The sequence below is a fragment of the Homo sapiens genome, chromosome 12 (assembly GCF_000001405.40).
Source record: "Homo sapiens chromosome 12, GRCh38.p14 Primary Assembly".
NCBI classification, from domain to species: domain Eukaryota; kingdom Metazoa; phylum Chordata; class Mammalia; order Primates; family Hominidae; genus Homo; species Homo sapiens.
In genome coordinates this window covers 72,034,115-72,053,127 of record NC_000012.12, presented here as the reverse complement: position 1 = coordinate 72,053,127, position 19,013 = coordinate 72,034,115, and the positions used below count along the sequence as shown (strand labels likewise).

The following is a 19,013-nucleotide window of genomic DNA, read 5'->3' as shown; positions in this document are numbered from 1 at the left end:
TCTCATGAGATCTGGTTGTTTAAAAGTGTGTAACACTTCCCCCTTCACTCTTTCTCTCCTGCTGCCATGTGAAGATGTGCTTACTTTCCCTTTGCCCTTCTACCATGGTTGCAATTTTTCTGAGGCCTCCTAGCCATGCTTCCTGCACAGCCTGTGGAATTGTGAGTCAATTAAACCTGTTTTCTTTATAAATTGCCCAGTCTCCGGTAATTCTTTTTTTTTTTTTTTTTTTTTTTTTGAGACAGAGTCTCACTCTTTTGCCCAGGCTGGAGTGCAGTGGTGCGATCTCGGCTCACTGCAACCTCTGCCTCCTGGGTTTAAACTATTCTCGTGCCTCAGCCTCCTGAGTAGCTGGGACTACAGGCGTGTGCCCCCATGCCTGGCTAATATTTTGCATTTTTTGTAGAGACGGGGTTTCACCATGTTAACCAGGTTGGTCTCCATCTCCTGACCTCGTGATCCGCCTGCTTCAGCCTCCCGAAGTGCTGGTATTACAGGCGTGAGCCACTGCACCCAGCCATCTCAGGTAATTCTTTATAGCAGTGTGAGAACAAACTAATACAGCATGCCACTTTATTTACTTTTTAATTTTTTTTATTTATCCAACATCCTGTAATGAAAAGACATTATTTTTCTGATAGGAAAAAGATTGTGTTGAAAAAGCTTCTAATAAAACAGAGGGCAAATCAGAAAAAATAATTCTTATACAATTCTCTCTTAGCCATACTCTTTGTCTGCGTGTACCAGATATTGCATAAAGAATAATGATATTCTTTACCAAGTCTCTAGCATACGCGAGGCACTCTACTAGGAGCTTCTAATATGTTATTTCATATTTTTCGGCAGGGAACAACTTCGGCCCTGCTGGAAGCCTTGTCATTGACAAAGGGACCAAAGATGTTTACTCTCTTTTGATTCTCTCTTACAGTGGAGCACCTGGGAATCTGGTTTATCTCTGTAACCCCGGGCATACAAAAGGCAGCTGGTCGGGGAATAAGCTTTGTATTCTAGGATGGAGTGTATGAGCAGAAAGCAAGGAATTCCCTTCTTCCTGTAAATCTGTTAAGCTTGTAAATAATAGGGGATATGAAGAAGGCTTTCAAACCTAATATCACCAACCTGAAATTTTTGGCAACTCTTAGCCGGTGCCTCTATTGATCCCTTTAAAACTCTTCACTGTTTTATCTTGTTAGGAAGTGTAAGATGTAGATGAAGCAGTGTATAAAGTCTAGATGGTAGAACTATGGTTTTAGAAGATGTCTCCGTCTATTTGTGGTATGCAGAATACCAAACAGGTTCATTTCCTAATCCTCAGAACCTGTGAATATTTTTAATTACATGGCAAAAGAGAATCAAGGTAGCTGATAGAATTAAAACTGCTGATGGGACTAGGGTTTCTAATCAGCTAACCTTGAAATAGGCAGATTATCATGGATTATCCAGGTGGACCCAATGTAATCACAGGAGTCCTTATAAGTAGAAAAGGGACGCAGAAGAGTCAGAGAAGATGTGATGATGGAAGCACAGTCAGACGGAATGGATGCAATGTAAAGACCCACCTGCCATTGCTTGCTTTGAAGATGGAAAAAGGGAGCCATGAGCCAAGGAATGGTGCAGTCTTGAGTAGCTAGAAAAGGCAAGAAAACAGATTCTCTCCTGGAGCCTCCAGAAAGGAGTGCAGTCCTGTTGACATCTTAATTTAGCACAGTGAGAGTGGTGTTGGGTTTCTAACCTGTAGAACTTGGGTAATAAATTTGTGTTAATTTAAGCCACTAATTTGGGGTAATTTTTTGGCAATGATAAAAAACAATACACTACTAATGTGAGAAATCTGCCTGTAAACATGGGTAGATGAGAAAGCAAAAATTAAAAGGTGACTGAGGTAAAAGAATATCTATCTGCCTGTATGGTTCAAACAGACCTCTGGGGAGGTTTCCCAAAAGTGATTAGAGGGAGTTGCAATTAGTGATTGGGTATAGAAGGAAAGTGACTAATATAATATGAGGGGAGGACACTGAGAGATGTTCCACAGTGTTAACACACTTCCTGGCAGACTAATCAGCTCTTGAAACACCTAAAAACCTTTAATAACCATGTATGACAGAGGAGTATATAGGTTTTTGTAGTCTGGGGAAAAATCCGACCTCTATATATTGACACATAGAAACAAAATTACAAAATCATGTTAAATGAATTTTAGAAAGGAAAGTAGTCTTGCAAACTATACATCCAATTCTCATTTTATACACAAAAAGAAACTGAGGTTCAGTGAGGTATAATGGTTTGCTGATATTAGTTTATGTCACAGCTAATACACGAACTCAGTTCTCCAAATTAGTAGATTTGCCTAAAAAGTGTAGGATCTGGTTACAACTCCATAATTATTCTATTTCCTAATAAACTAAAAATAAACTGTAGGACCAAAATCATTGTCTCTGGTTAGTGAGAAAAAATAAATTAAAGCCCTGGCCAAAATGGGATATTAATGTTGGATGGGAAGAAGGAGACATGCTGAGCTTGAGAGGCACTATATGTCCTTGGGAGAAAAGCAACTTCTTCAGAGCTGTGGTAGCTAAGCACCAGGAAATTTCCAAGTAATTGTCCCAAACAGGCCCTTCATCTACCCACATTTTGTGAATGGGAGGAGTCCCTTCGAGATCCTCAAACTAGTCTTGTTCCTTCAGTGGGTATGACAGCCCAGTTGGTCTCGGCCGACCTCAGTAATAATGACCAAGGATAGTAATGATAGCTGCTAGCATTATTGAGCACTTGCTGTGTGCACTGCCACGTACAATTCCAAGTGCTTCACATGTATTATCTCACTTAATCCTTGCAGTAACCCTGAAAATTTTTATCCCCATTTCATAAGCAAGATAACTGAAGCACAGAAAGGTTTAGTAACTTGTCAACAGTTATTCAGCTACTAAGTGGTAGAGCCAGAATCTGAGCCCAGATAGCCTGACTCCAGAGCTAAGCTGTAGACAGGCTCTGGCTTCCCTCTTGCTTTAGACAATGGACTACACGGGGGCAAGAATTAGGTCTTGCTCATCTATGCAGTTTCAGTGACTGGTAACATTTCAGCACAAATAGGGCAGAATAGCACAGAGGTCAGAGACTGGACTGTGGGGGTCAGTCATTCCAGGTTTTAAAAAACGGCACCAGCACTCGGTATGACCTTGGGTAAGTTACTTACCTTCTCTCAATTTCAGATTGTTTACCTTAAAAAGGAAAAAGCATAATAAAAAGAGACATCTTTATTATTTATTATCTATCGCATCAGGCTGTTGTGAAGATTAATGCTATAACACATTTCAGGCTTAGCCTAGCATTGTATTTGATAAATAATAAACGAGACTCCATACAACAGGAAGTTATTTTTGTCATCTTTCTTTGCTTTTCAAAATTATTTTTTAAATGTTCCAAAAACCTAAATGTCTCCCAAGTCCCCTCCCAAGTATCATGAAAAGTCCATTTAAGGAAAAAAAAATTTTAAAGTTTAAAAAAACAGGATAAAGAAAAACATCATTCAAAAGAAGTTTGATTCCCTTGAAGCTTCTCCTAGGCTATAATTTGGTAAAACTAGCAGTAGCAGTGGAAAATAATTGACAAAATATACAGTTTTGTGAATGTTTATAGGAGTGTATTAAGGTAGCTAATTCACAGATGTTAATTACATGGCTGAAGACAGTTCTATCTACCAGTAGATATTCTGCTGCATAAATCTCCCTGTTCCTACAGGTACTACTTATATGATAGTAGTTTCCAGAACCTGATTTATCTTGGCCTTCCATCAAAAAAAATATTACGGAGTGAAGCACAATGCTTTGTGAACACAAAAACACGTAATACACAATTCCTATTCTCAAGGAATTTAGAGTCTACTTGGGGAGACAGAATATATCCATGCAAAATAATTAACCTAATAAGTGGCATAGAATAAATACCAACTGGAGTCCAAATGAGTTGCACTTTTTTTGAGATGAAATTTCACTCAAGTTGCCCAGGCTGGAGTGTAATGGCACGATCTCAGCTCACCACAACCTCCGCCTCCTGGGTTTAAGTGATTCTCCTGCCTCAGCCTCCCGAGTAGCTGGGATTACAGGCATGTGCCACCATGCCTGGCTAATTTTTGTATTTTTAGTAGAGATGGGGTTTCTCCATGTTGGTCAGGCTGGTCGCGAACTCCCGACCTCAGGTGATCCATCCACCTCGACCTCCCAACGTGTTGGGATTACAGGCGTGAGGCACCGTGCTTGGCCGGGTTGCACCTTCAATTGCTCATGCTAGTCACTAATGTTGGTAGCTTTTTTGTAAGAACTAATAGACATCTTTCAGGAATTGACCAGTTCAGTAGTTACTCTTTAAGAGCAAGAGAGATCAGATCCAGAAAAATGCAGAAATACATCCTACCCTCTTCTCAGAGTTTGGCTAAAATCTCAGTTTGGCTAAATCTTCTGACAGTACATGATATATTTATTTGCAGATCTGTCTCCCAGCTAGCCTGGGCATTAGTGAAGGGAAATGCCCCTATTTTGGCACATTTCCATATCACATACAGGGGCTCAATTAATAGCAGTTGAATGGAATGGATATCTGTAGTGTATTATACATAGCTAATATTGTTAAAGTTGGATATTTTCTCATATTTGATATTCTATAATTTTCCCCTTTGGTCTGGTAAACCCAGTCATAAACAGACTCAATTATTTGTTGACAGTGTGTTTTCCTAATTAAGCCCCATATAATTATGTGGCTTAAATGTAACTCTCTGTAATCAAGAAGCTGGCCCATATGGACCTAATATTTGCACAAGGCATGAATAAGGTCCAAACACACACTAGGAAAGAAATAATGCTATCCACGGCCACTCTGCTGATGACCTGTCCATCCTTCCAAGTCACGTATGCTGTTTGTTGCCTCCTCTTGGAAAGCTTTTCCCTCCCCACATCATGTCCATCCATTTCCTTCACCACATTACCTCATCATCGTCCTTAGGATTTCAGCTTATACTTCACTCCCTCAGGAAAGATTTCCCAGACAGCCTGTGATACTGCCAGAGCCAATACTTCTCCTTAACAGCAATCATTATAACTGATAAACTAACATTTTCCATTAATTTTATGATTATTTCATTACTGTCTTCTGTTTCTGATTGTAAAATCCACATATGAACATAATATGTGTGCATTTTTTTGTTCATGATTATGTTTCTATCACAATGTGTCTTGTTTATGTGTCTGTGTATATACACACACACACATATATATTCACACACACGAGACACAAACGTACATGCCCTCACATAAGACACTTTGCTCCATAATCTGTACATATGAATGAATAGGTGGTGCTCAGTAAATATTTTGAATGAATGAATTCTGCAAATTTTACCCACGAATCATAAAGGAAGAGTTGAGAGCAGGGCTGGGTCATTCCAATGATACATAAGCAGAGAAACTTTTCAACTTACCACTTATCCTGTTGTCTTACCACCCCTAGGAGACATCAGTTGTGTTTCTGTAACAACAGCACCCCAAACAGTGCTTGTACGGGCCATATTGCCAATCTGTACCTGCAAGGAACAAGGAGTATATTGTGTAGCTCATCAAGAGGAAAAGGTAGGCCAGGCATGGTGGCTCACGCCTGTAATCCCAGCACTTTGGGTGGCTGAGACAGGCAGATCACCTGAGGTCAGGAGTTCAAGAGCAGCCTGGCCAACATGGTGAAACCCCATCTCTACTAAAAATACAAAAATTAGGCGGGTGTGGCAGTGGGTCCCTGTAATCCCAGTTACTTGGGAAGCTGCAGCAGAAGAATCACTTGAACCCAGGAGTGGAGGCTGCAGTGAGCCAAGATCACGCCATTGCACTCTAGCCTGGGTGACAGAGCGAGATTCTGTCTCAAAAAAAAAAAAAAAGAAAAAAAGGCAGAGGGAAGTGGTGAGAACCCACCTACATCTTTGTGGTTCTCACCCTGTTTTGGTCAGAATATTAATTCACCTGGAAGCATAGTGCTCTTACTCCCCTACTAACCATTATCAGTTCCTAATTAGCAGACCAAATATCACCTCTTTGTCTCTGTCTCTGTGTCTCTGTGTTTTACTCTCCTTCGCTGGCTCTCTTTCTTGGTTTCCCTCTTACTCTCCAGGACATTATATGTAAAACAAATATAAGAAGACTCTGAAAGTTGGAGAAAAGACGTTAGACCATCTGGAGACCTTGGGATCTGAGGAACAACATAGCAGTGAGTTCCCTGGGTTTCCTTTCTGGCTTATATATCCCAAACTGGGTGCTGGAGAAGCCAGCAACCTAGACAGACACAACAACAGGTACAGACAAAAAAGAAAAAAAAAAAGCCCCAGCAAATGCCACTGTCTACACCCAAAGAACCAGGAAATGTGCAGCCTTCCAAGACAATACCACTTTATTGCAGCCAAAATGGCAGAAAAAACTGTGGCCCCACCCCAACTAGCGAAATCCAAAGGGGAGCCTAGACTTTCCTCCTTGCCAGGCTGTAAGGAAGCACCTCAAACCCCCTACCAGGACGATGTCAGAGAAGGATGAGTAGGGAGCTGGGACTTCTATCATCACTGAGCAGTAACTGGGGCTGTCCTCTCCCACAGTGTCAGTGAAGACCACATGGGGACATGGAAGCAGTGACAAGACCCCTCTACCCTCTCTCAGCAGTAAGAGGAGCCCCTCCCCATCCCAGGTGTCAACAGAGGCTGAGTGGGAACCTGGACTTCTACCCCCACCTGGTAGTAACAAGACAGGCTCCACCCCTTTCTTTGCCAGAGTGGTGTTGGAAGAAGCCAATAAAAACAAAAGGTGTAAATGAGACTGAGCGTCTCATAACGTGATATCCAAAATGTCTAGCTTTCCATCGAAGATCATATCAAGAGCCAGGAAAATCTCAACTTGAATGGAAAAAGACAATCAATAGATCCCAACATCAAAATGACAGAGATGGCAGAATTATCTGACAAATATTTTAAAGACAGCCATTATATAAATGTTTGAAATAAACTATTACAAACATACTTGAAACAAACAAAAAATAGAAAGTCTCAGCAGAAGTATAGAAGATATAAAGAAGAACCAGATAAAAATTTTAGAACCGAAAAATACAAAAGCCGAAACAAAAGACAACAGCAGAATAAACGAGACAGGAAGAAAATCAATGAACTTGAAGATAGAGCAGCAGAAATTAAGCAATATGAATAACAGAGAGAAAATAGACTAAAAAAATGAAAAGAACCTCAGGGACTTAGGAAACTATAACAAAAGATCTAACATTCCTGTCACTGGAGTCTTGCAAGGAGAGAAGAAAAAGGGCGGGGCTAAGAAAAGGACACAAAGAAATCATAGCTAAAAGCTTCCAAAAAAAGTGATGTAATCTTATTGGCAATTAAGAATTCAAATTGAATAATAAAATGACATTTTTATCCTTTGCTTCTCTAATTGGCAAAAAATATTTATGATTGATGACATTGCATATTAGTAGGTATATGAGAAATGAGGATTCTTACAGTTAGTGACAGTTTAAATTGATGATATGTTTTTCATTAAGTTTTTCTGAATTGTCTATTGCTATCAAAATTGTAAATGTGCACATTCCCTGATGCTGAAATTACACTTCCAGAAATAAATCTATCCCATGAAATAGCCACATATGTTCAGAAATCATATAAACTATATAAAGAATATTTATTGCAATATCATGTGTAATCATGGAAAATTACAAATAAAAACATCCATTAAAACAGAAATAGTTAATGAATTGTGACTTATTTGTACTATAGATGTGACAGAGTTGTTTAATAAATGTATGAGATTGACTTACACAATTTGATATGGAAATAACTCTAAGTTTTAAAATGCTAGTAAAGGAACACTATGTATAATATGGTCCCAAACACAAGTACACCAAGAAAGGTGTATGTTTGTGAATACAATGCATAGAAAGTGGACATAGAGATAAGACATTTTAAGAGTATCCCCAGCTCCAAGCTGTGTTTGCTTGAGCCTTTGAATAAACTGAAAAAAACAGAAAATGTCACTGTTAAAGAATGGTGTGGAAGGACTGATAGAGATTATGAGGTGATCAAAATCTCCCTAAAGCAAAGGTTGACAGTTAATTGAGTTTGACAGAGGTGGGTGACAAAGGGAAATGTTCACACTTCGTTCTCCACTCTTTTATGTCTTTGGCTCATGTCCAGTGTATTGATATATTAATTGTATGAAAAAAGAAAAGTTATGAAGATATAACCTTATGATTAAAAATGAACAATGGATAAAATAATAATAGCTCATATTTATTGGGTGTCTACAAATGTCATGTGTCAAGCATTGGGCCAAATGCTTCCCATATATTATTCTATTGACAAAAACTCTGTGGGATAGGTGGTAGGTGCCATTCTGAGTGCTTTAAATGTATCATCTCATTTAGTGTTCACAGCCACTCTATAATATCAGTACCATTATTAGTTCTCATTTCACAGAAAAAAAATAGAGCATTTAGGCCAATTACCCCTGTTAGTAGCAGAATTGAGTACTCAATTGTGTTCTTTAACCCCAGCGTCTACATCTTAGCCCCGATTTCACAGAGAAAAAAAATATCCACATATCTGCTAAGCCTAAGCAAACCTGTTTCTTCATCAATACTGGAAGAATACTGATTCTTTGATAAGCTTTAAATGTGATTCAGGAAGAAGAAAAAGAAAATTATTCTATAAACCAAAAGAGAGACATTGTTTAATTGTATGTGTGTGTGCCTCTGAAATATAGGACAACGTGATGTTGTGTTCAGACAAATCCACTGTTACATTCTCTTTGGTGTCACTTTATGTGTAACAATCATACTAAAAATAATGGATATTAAACTAATCATCTTGAGAAAACAAGTTAATTAATATTAGTGCTCAGTTATCTAATTTTCTCTGGATTGAGATAGGTAATTCTAAATGATAAACTATGATTAGTGAAACAATTTAACTCATTTAAAAAAATACTACATGTTTCAAAAAAGAGACAAGAAAACTACAAATATCTTTAAAACTCAAATGTGGTCATTTGAAGCCAACATTTTTTGTTAGGTAAAAGCTTCAACTCTGAAGCATTGAGTGAAGTTAATGAGTCAATTTCTTTCTAAGATTAAAGAAGACGTTTGACACTGTGTAGACCTCTTAAACTTCAGCCTCTGCCCTCATTTTTCTAGGTTATACAGCACAAACCATCATAACCACAAGGACACAGTATACAAGGAAAAAAGTTTTGGAAAAGTTTAAGACAGAGAAAATAAGCAGGACCAAATTTTCCCACAGTAGGTACCACAAAGCTTTCACATATATGAAATCTAGCTAGTCAAATGAGATTTAGATCTGTTGTGTCAGCCTGTTTTTCTGATAGTATCTTGATAGAAACCAGGCTGCAATAAAATCTACCTACTTCTTAAAAACAAGAAAAATACCACTCCCAGAATAAGGCAAGAATCTCTGTAGGAACACATACTCCACAAGCATGGAAGTTGTCCAGCTTTGCTCATCATTATGCCCAGTGCCCAGGGTCTCCACCAACACTTCTGGAGAGACCATGGTCTCAGTTTTGCACAGTCCATATCTCCTTAACCTTTGTTTAAGATGCTTCTCCTCAGGCTTCTGGGACCACACTTTGCTAAGCCTCCTACCTCTCTTGATGCTCCTCCTGTTTGCATCATTCCTCCTCTTCAGCCACCAATTTACTAGAAGCCTTTCCAGCCTGCATTTGAGCTGACGTCAGGGAAAGGGAGAGGGAAAGGGAGAAGGAAAGAATGGATGGGCTAAAGGTGGTTTACCTGTAATATAAGTTCACTTTACCCACTCTAAAAACTAGAATATTTGGATGAAAAGCCAGCAAATCCAAAAGGGGTTCATAAATTGAACCCCTTTAGTCTGATCATTTAGGATCTAAGGACAAGCTCCATTAGGCATGGTGATTTCCAAAGGGACAATGGTTGTAGTCTGGACTCTAGAGATCTATTCAGATTTCTGCCCAGCCCTTCTGCTTCCAGGAAAGCCTCCCTACCTACAGGTGAGTGTCTCTGCAGTCATATCTAAGCCACTTTACCCTTCTATGCTGGCCATAGTCAATTGGACCAGGAATGGACAGCTGACCCACACTGGATCTATCAGATTCCCTTTCCCAAGATTATGGAATTTGAATTCAGAGGCAATGAGTCTGTCTTTGTCTAAAACTATGACCTTTACCTCAGAAGTTATAAAGTCACCATATTCCATCATGCATATGGGTAAGTAGAAAAATCCCATCTGCAGAGAAAAAAGAAGAAAAGAGAGTCACAGACAGTAGAGTGAAACCGATGTGCAGAGAAGGCATAGTAGAGGCAGAGAGAAAATTCTGAAATCTTCTCAGTTCCCAGCTCTCATTCCTTTTGAAGGCCGCTGCATCCCTGCTCTTGGATTCCATGAGTCACATATAATAAAGCTCCCTTTAGTTTGCCAAGCAAACCCAAATTATACAAGTGACACAAAAATAAAAGTCAACAAAATAAATGTAGGAAATGGAAAATGAAGCTAAGACTGAACCGGTTTTAATTATAAACCCTACTGAAATGAGGTAGGCTGTCATATGTCAGCTCTCCCAAGGCCTACCCTAGTTCCCCATGTACAGGCAAGCCACAAGCGTAATTGCTCTGTGTCTAGGCTGATGGTTAGAATTAGTGTTCCTTTCAATGTTATTTACAACAAAGACAAAATGGAGACAAAAATAAAGCTCAAAGGGAAAATGAACCCAACCATTGTTCCCCTTCCCATATTAGGATATTTTTCTAAAAGTGAATTCTCCAGCAAAGAGGACATCAGAAAGGAAACAGATGGTTACTTTAAGGAAAGTAGGAGACATTCCATATTGCCTTTCCCTTGTTCCCTCTTTTTAACAGGAAGGACTTAAGCAGTTATGGTTATTCCTCACATACATTTGAGCCATTCTGTTTATGCAATGCAAAAGACGGATAATTGCACTACTGCACTACAAAACAAGCAGCTGAATGTGGAATGGTACTCAAAATGGAAACCTTGTCAGTTAGTATTAGCAAATCATCACATGAAACAAATTGTTCACTTTTGCTCAGCCCATTAGCTGCAAGGATGAAAGGAATTGCTCTCTCAACACATAATATTCCAATTTCCTGTTTTTACTTAGCGTTTCTCTTTCCTCCTCTGCAAATAATATACATTTATATTCTGGGCCTAATTTGTTCCCTCTGACCAGGAGATTATTTTAGTCAGAGACAACTTAAGCAATTGCTTTGTGAAATGAAGCCTTGGGAACGCAGTACCTCTCATATAGAGGGGATTGATTTGGCCTTCCTTTTAGTAGATGGTCTGGTGACTAGAACATAACACCCACCAACCACTATGCCCTGTATTTCAGTTTTTCTAAGAAAGACAATTGTGGAATGGCTCAGAGCCCACTTGCCACAGTTCAATTATATATATAATAATTATGATAAGTCTGTAAATGAGGTATTTTCATTCTTATTTTTCAGACAACTAAAATGAAACCCTGAAAGTGTCAATAATTCTACAGCGATCACCCAGTTAGTAGAGATATCAGAATTTGTACTTCTGTTTACATGTCAGTGCCCATGTTCTCTCTCCTATACTCTGGGAGACAAGTTTTATTTAAAGGTGCCCTAATGAAAACCAGATCGTCCTAAGAGTTACACTGAAACACTGGGACAACAAAAGTCTTATCCAGTTATCTAAGCTGCCTCTCATCATAAGTTGAATTCACTTTGATTTTCTTTTTCCATGGAACAAACCAGTGAGTAACCTACAGAATGAATCTCAAGTTGTCACCTGGAATCTAATTAAACACTTCTGTTGAGCAATTTTGCTGGCCACATCTCACTGGAATCAAGTCACACCACTCCCAACATTAGAGGAGTATAAACACGTCAGATACCCCATATTTCTGTAGCATAGGAAGGACAAAAAGACACAAATAGTACAGACACACCATGTTTCATTGCACTTCACTTTATTACACTTCACAAATACTGCATTTTTTAGAAAGTGAAGGTTTGTGGCAACCCTACATCGAGCAAGCCTATCAGCACCATTTTTCCAACAATATGTCTTCACTTTCGGTCTCTGTGTCACATCTTGATGATTCTTGCAATCTTTCAAACGTTTTTATTATTATTATATGTTATGGTGATCTCTGACCAGTGATCTTTGGTGTTAGCATTGTAATTGTTTGGGGATGCCATGAATCACACCTATATAAGACAAATTAAATCAATAAATGTTATATGTGCTCTGACTTCCCCACCAATCAGCCATTCTCCCATCTCTCTCCCTATCCTCAAACCTACTATTTACTGAGACAAAACAATATTGAAATTAGGTCAATTAATGATGTCCCTACAATGACCTCTAAGTGTTCAAGTGAAAGGAAGAGTCACACATCTCTCACTTTCAATTAAAAGCTAGAAATGATTATGCTTAGTGAGGAAAGCATATCAAAAACCAAGATAGCCCAAAAGCTGAACTTCTTGTACCAGTTAACCAAGTAGGGAATGCAAAGAAAATATTCTTGAAGGAAATTGAAAGTTCTACTCTAGTGAACACACAAATGATAGGAAAGTCAAACAGCCTTATTGCTGGTATGCAGAAAGTGTGAGTGGTCTGGATAGAAGACCAAACCAGCCACAGCATTCCCTTAAGCCAGAGCCTAATCCAGAGCAAGGTCTTAACTCTGTTCAATTCTTTTGAGGCTGAATGAAGTAAGGAAGGTGCAGAAGAAAAATATGAAGCTAGAAGTTGGTTCATGAGATATAAGGAAAGGAGCCATCACCATCATATTAAAGTGCAAGGTGAAGCAGCAAGTGCTGAGGGAGAAACTGCAGCAAAGTTATACAGATCTAGCCAGGATTGTGGATGAAGTTTGCTACACCAAACCACAGATTTTTCATGTAGACAAAATAGCCTTCTATCAGAAGACAATTCCACGTAGGACTTTCACAGCTAGAGAGGAGAAGTCAAAGCTTCAAAGGACAAGCTGACTCTTTTGTTATGCAGCTGGTGACTGTTAAGGTGAAGCTAACGCTCATTAACCACAGCCAAAAAAGCCTAGGGCCCTTAAGACTCATGCTAATTCTACCCTACCTGTGCTCTAGAAATGTAACAAAATCTAGATGAAAGAGCATTTATTTATAGCATTGTTTACTGAATATTTTAAGCCTATTGTTGAGAACTACTGCTCAGAAAAAGAGACTCCTTTCAAAATACTACTGCTCATTGACAATGTACCTGGTTACCCAAGAGCTCTGATGAAGACATACAAGGGAATAATATTGCTTTCAGGCCGGCTAATATAACATTCATTCTGCAGCCCATGGATTGAGTAGTAATTTTGACTTTTAAGTCTTATTATTTAAGACACACATTTCATAAGACTATTGCTGCCATAGATTGTGATTTATCAGATAGATCTGGTCAAAGTAAATGAAAACCTTCTGGAAAGGATTTAGTATTTTAGATGTCATTAAGTATATTTGTGATTTATAGGAGGAGGTCAAAATATCAATATTAAGAGAAGTATGGAAGAAGTTGATTCCAGCCCTCATGGATGACTTTTTAGGGGTTCAAGACTCCAGTGGAGGAAGCAACTTCAGAAGTGGTGGAAATAACAAGAGAATTAGAATTAGAAGTAGAGTCTTAGGATGTAACTACATTGCTGCAAACTCATGATAAAACTGGAACAGAGGAGGAACTGCATTTTACGGGTGAGCAAAGCAAGTGTTTTCTTGAGATGGAACTGACTCTTGGTGAATACGCTATGAACTATTGAAATGACAACAAAGGATTTAGAATATTTCATAAACATAATTCTTAAATCAAGAGCAAGGTTTAAGAGTATTGACTCCAATTCTAAAAGAAGTTCTACCATGGGTAAAATGCTATAAACAGCATTGTATGCTACAGAGAAATATTTCATAAAAGGAAAAGTCAATCAATATGGCAAAGTTTACGGTTGTCTTATTTTAAGAACTTGCCACAGCCACCCCAACCTTCAGTAACCACCACCCTGATCAGTCAGCAGCCATCAAAATCAAGGCAAGACCTTCCACCAGCAAAAAGATTATGATTCACTGAAGGCTTAGATGACTGTTAGCATCTGTTAGCAATAAAGTATTTTTAATTATGATATCTACATTTTTAGACATAATGCTATTGCATACTTACTAGACTACAGTGTAGTATAAATATAACTTTTACGTACATTGAAAATACAAAAAAAAAATTTGTGTGACTCACTTTATTGCTATATTTGTTTGATTGCAGTGGTCTGGAACCAAACCCACAATATATCTGAGGTTTGCCTGTACTTCTTCAGGAAGTTATGATTCCCAGAACCAACTGGAAAAGTGTGAAGAAAGCAAATCTAAAATCCTCTACCCCTTCTCTCTTGCTTTCATCATGGATGTTAGAACTTTTTTGATGCCAGTGACAGCATGAAGGAAAATGAGAGCAGAGAGGAGGGGTCATTTATTAGCTCATGGACCTAGAAAGTCTAAAGGTACATCTAGCTACATGCACAGCTAAATCTGTGAGCTTGACAATGTCATGAGCTTCACAGCCAGGCCAAAGACGCTGTCTCGGCCGGGCGCAGTGGCTCACACCTGTAATCCCAACACTTTGGGAGGCCGAGGCGGGCGGATCACAAGGTCAAAAGATTGAGACCATCCTGGCTAACACGGTGAAACCCTGTCTCTATTAAAAATACAAAAAAAATTAGCCAGGCACGGTGGCGGGTGCCTGCAGTCCAGCTACTCGGGAGGCTGAGGCAGGAGAATGGCGTGAACCTAGGAGGCAGAGCTTGCAGTGAGCCGAGATCCAACCACTGCACTCTAGCCTGGGCGAGAGAGCGAGACTCTGTCTCAAAAAAAAAAAAAAAAGAAATTGTAAAACACTGTCTCTATCTTTTACTCTTGGCCTTGCATTCTCTATTTGGTGGTCCATGGAAGTTCCAGACTCACTTTCTACCACCTTACAATTACAGAAGAAAGCAGCACACCTCTTTCTCAATGGTTTCAGAAAAGTCCAGGGTTTGGCTTTAATTGGCCCAACCCAGGTCCTGGCCTACCTATGAACCAATCATTGTGACCAGAAGAATATAATAGCTCACTGATTAAACATTGGTCATAAGCCCACCCCTAGAACTGAGAAGTGGAATCAGCCCCACCCAAGGTAAGGAATAAGACCCAGGGACAGGATTCACAAAAGGAAAACTATGGTGCAATTATAGGACAATGAAGGTATGGATACTGGGCTAACAACAGCTGGTCGGTATGATCAGAGAGACAATCATCCTAAAAGACATATTTCCAACATGGAAAAATAGCCTCCGTCCAGGTTAGGAGTTTGTAGGAGCTATGGGGCTTTTTCCCTCTGTTCTCAGGCAGAAGCTCAAGAGGCAGACTCAGTCTGGCAATTAGCTGTCAGCTCATCAGCAATTCAAATGTCCTGGAGTGGGCCATGCTGATGATCTGTACTTGCAGTAATCATTTGGCTGGGTGAATCAAATTATACTTTCCAATGCCACTTCAAATCAAGATTGCTATGTCTGCACTCATTTTCAGCAGCATTACCATGCAAGTTATTTTCTTTGATATTGACTCTACGTGGGCAAGGGAGAAATTTAGGCTTCTTTTAAGTTCTGCTCAACAGGAAAGACCAAAAAGTTTTAGAGATTTGCAAGGAGACTAATTAGGATCCATTCCAATTTAATGGCTAGGCTTTCACACTGAAATGGATAGGGAAACATGTTCTGCCCTTGCAAGGTAGAGATTTTTCTTACAAGTAGCTATCTAACTTGGAAACCTCATTCTTTCATAATGCCATGTGCAGTGATCAATCAGATGTAATGATCAAAAGAAAGTTTGCCTCAATCAATCCTGATAAACAAATAACAGCTATAGTGGCAAATCTAATGTGTTCTTCACTTCAAATTCACTTGCCAATAATTGGCCTCATTAGCGTCTGTGAAGTTAGCTGTTCGCTAAAATTGGGCAAGCTGTACATTAGATGTGTTCAGTGGTTTGCAAACCTTTGGGAATAATAGACCTACTGAATCAGCAATCTTGCTAGTTCCATGGAAATGAACAAGCTAAAAAGCAAGGAGACTGCAAGAGATCTAGGAGTGAAGGAGGGACCAGGAACTTCCTCCCACCTGCCTGTAATTAATATTACCTTTCTCAACCTGTAAACTAAGGACTAGTTTTGTACCATTTTTTAAAGATTTGATTTTGACAGAAAATGAACTTGATTTCTTTGTGCCATCTAGCTTTCAAATTACCCTGCCCACATCTGTCAGATGTTTTTGTTGTTCAATTATAAAAACTGTATCCAGACTGGATTATGAGAATGCTGTTTGCAGGCACCATAACCACAGATGCCCCTGGGCTGAACATCAGGCTCACTGCAATCTTCCCAAAGAAGGAAATATACTTCCAGCTGCTGCACCAGACCCATCCTTCTTGGAAAGAGGACAAAATCACAGCAGGTGAACCTTTTCTGGAATATCTGAACTATGCATTTGGGGAGATGAGAGGCAGAGATAAGAGTGGAAATAGACTTAACTAATCCACTAACGTTTATATGGCTTATTCCTACAGAAATAGCAGAGTGAACAGTGAACACAACTATTCAGTTTGCCTGGAGGTAAGAGAGGTTTTTTTCCTGAATTACCCTATATGTCAGCACCACCAACATTCACCAATAATACCTCATTTTCTGTGTCATTTTTGCTTCTGTTGTCAATATCTGTGAGTCACAAGAAAAAAAAAATGCGTTTGCTTTTCAGTGTAGCTTTCTTTCCCTTAAAAGCTGGCCAGAGAAAGTTTCACATGATGTTTGTCAAAGGAAGCTTTAAGTATTTGTCAAAGACACAGCATATGTTTGGATGCCTTCTTTTCCAGCCAAATGAGAATCAACCCAGGTACAGATCATTCCAGTTTCTCTGCTTTTCACCTGATGGCGCCTACCCTCTTAACTTTGTAACTTATTTAATTACAACTATTTTTAATAACATCCACCATGATCAAGTAAGATATTGACTTTGCAGATCCCCAATATTGCAATGGCCTCCTAATTGGTTTCACTGCTTCTACCCTTATTCCCACACCCACCCTTTAACCCCACTACACTCCCTTTCCACAGAGCAGCCTGAGTAAGCTCTTACAAATGTAAATCAGATCTTGTCACTGTCTTCCTTACATCCCTCCAGTGACCTTCCGCTGCACGGAGAGTGCTCCTGACCTCTTGTGGAACCCTGTACTATTAACTCATCCTTGTCTTCCATGCTGCCCTCATATAATTCCATTCCACCCACGGACAACCTGTCTCTTCCTCAAACACATAAACCCAATTTGGATTTGGAGCCTTCGGTCCTTCTTGTTCCCTCTTCTGAGAACACGCTAACCATGGCCCTCTTCAGGCCTGGCTCCATCTCATCCCTGGTTCTTGGTCAAATGCCACCTGCTCAGAAAACCCTAACCCTGACACCATCTCCCCATTTCTCTTTATCAAATCATTGTGATTATTTTCTTCATAGAACTTGCTGTGATTTCAACTCATCTGTTTTTTTGTTTTGTTTTGTTTTGCCTGTATCTCCCTCTAGAATGTAGGCTCAAAGTGGGTATAAACCTCCTCTGCTTTATTCATCACTACATCCTCAGCGTCTAAAACAATGCTGATATTGCGCCTGACATGTTCCAAGAAACTGGGTGAATGTTTTGAAACTCCAAGTCGCATTATAAAGAACCATCATTTTATGTTCTAGAACTGGTTTTATTTCAAACATTTGCAAATCTAATATTACAAGAAGCAGTCTCCCATTGTTAATTCCTTTGAGTGTCCCCAGAACATGACAATTTGCATAAGAATCATTTCCCAAAAGGAAAAAAAAAACCTCAGACACACCAGAAAACTCTGGACTGCTTTCTTCTTCATTATAAGTAAGACAAGTTTGAAAGAATAAACATCAAGACTTGATTCTTTAGAAGTTGAAAATTAGATCAAATGAATTGGAGGACAACTACATCTTGTGTTAATGTTTTCCTCCTCGAATGAAGAAAATGAGGTGATGCCAGCCATGACTCCATTTGAAAATGAAACTCTGTATTTCTATTTGATTTCACGTTAAAGCACACTGTTTTTCACTGTAGACTTTTCATGTTGGTAAATGTTGCAATACTTCACAACCATTAGGCTCAGGCCCATTTACTATAAGCAAGACAAGCACAGATACATCATGCCCATAAAGCGTCATTTGTAAATTACACAGTACATAAATGAGACTAAGTCAGAAACCCAAGTCTCACAACTTTCACCACTAATGTGGAAGAAAAAAAAAGGAAGAAGAAATTTCAGTTCAAATTTTCCCACTCTCAAAAGGTATAATTTATAAATAGTCTATTATGCTTTCATTATGCCAAACAAAAGGAACATTCAAGAATATACTGTATGCCTTATTCTAACTCATAATAGACTAAAATGCTTCAAGAATAAAACTGGACTAATCAGATTCTGGCTATCTTTTGCAAAATGTGACAGGTAAGCACCCTGGTCCTGCCAGGAATTTTGTGTTGATTTCTGATTAGCTGATTACAGAAGTCAGCAGCAAAGCCATAATAAAGTAACAACTCACAGTGAGATGACAGTGAGCAAGTGTCTTTAAATTTATAATTGCCCTTGGATCTATTTAATTTAGCTTTAAGTCATGAAGCATAATTGAGATAAATGGTTACACTGAGCAGGTATCAAATATGACAAGAAGCTGGCTGTGATTATTTTGTTACACTATTTCCTTACGGGGAATTTTTCTGCCAACACTTTTCCTATGATGGCTATTAAAGTTTATAGGATTTTTCCCACCATTAGCTGTAATGGCATTTGCATGTTAAATGCTCACAACAAATGAAAACCATGATTCCATTGTTTCACAGGGGGA

The 19,013-nt window shown here is 39.0% G+C and overlaps 1 annotated feature.

The window, feature by feature from the left end:
* Window positions 15,278-15,779: an enhancer, noted in NCBI's record as "NANOG hESC enhancer chr12:72431129-72431630 (GRCh37/hg19 assembly coordinates)". NCBI's record gives its function as "activates a minimal SCP1, AML or CMV promoter by ChIP-STARR-seq in primed H9 embryonic stem cells {active_cell/tissue: H9 hESC(primed)}" and the evidence as "EXISTENCE:reporter gene assay evidence [ECO:0000049][PMID:30033119]".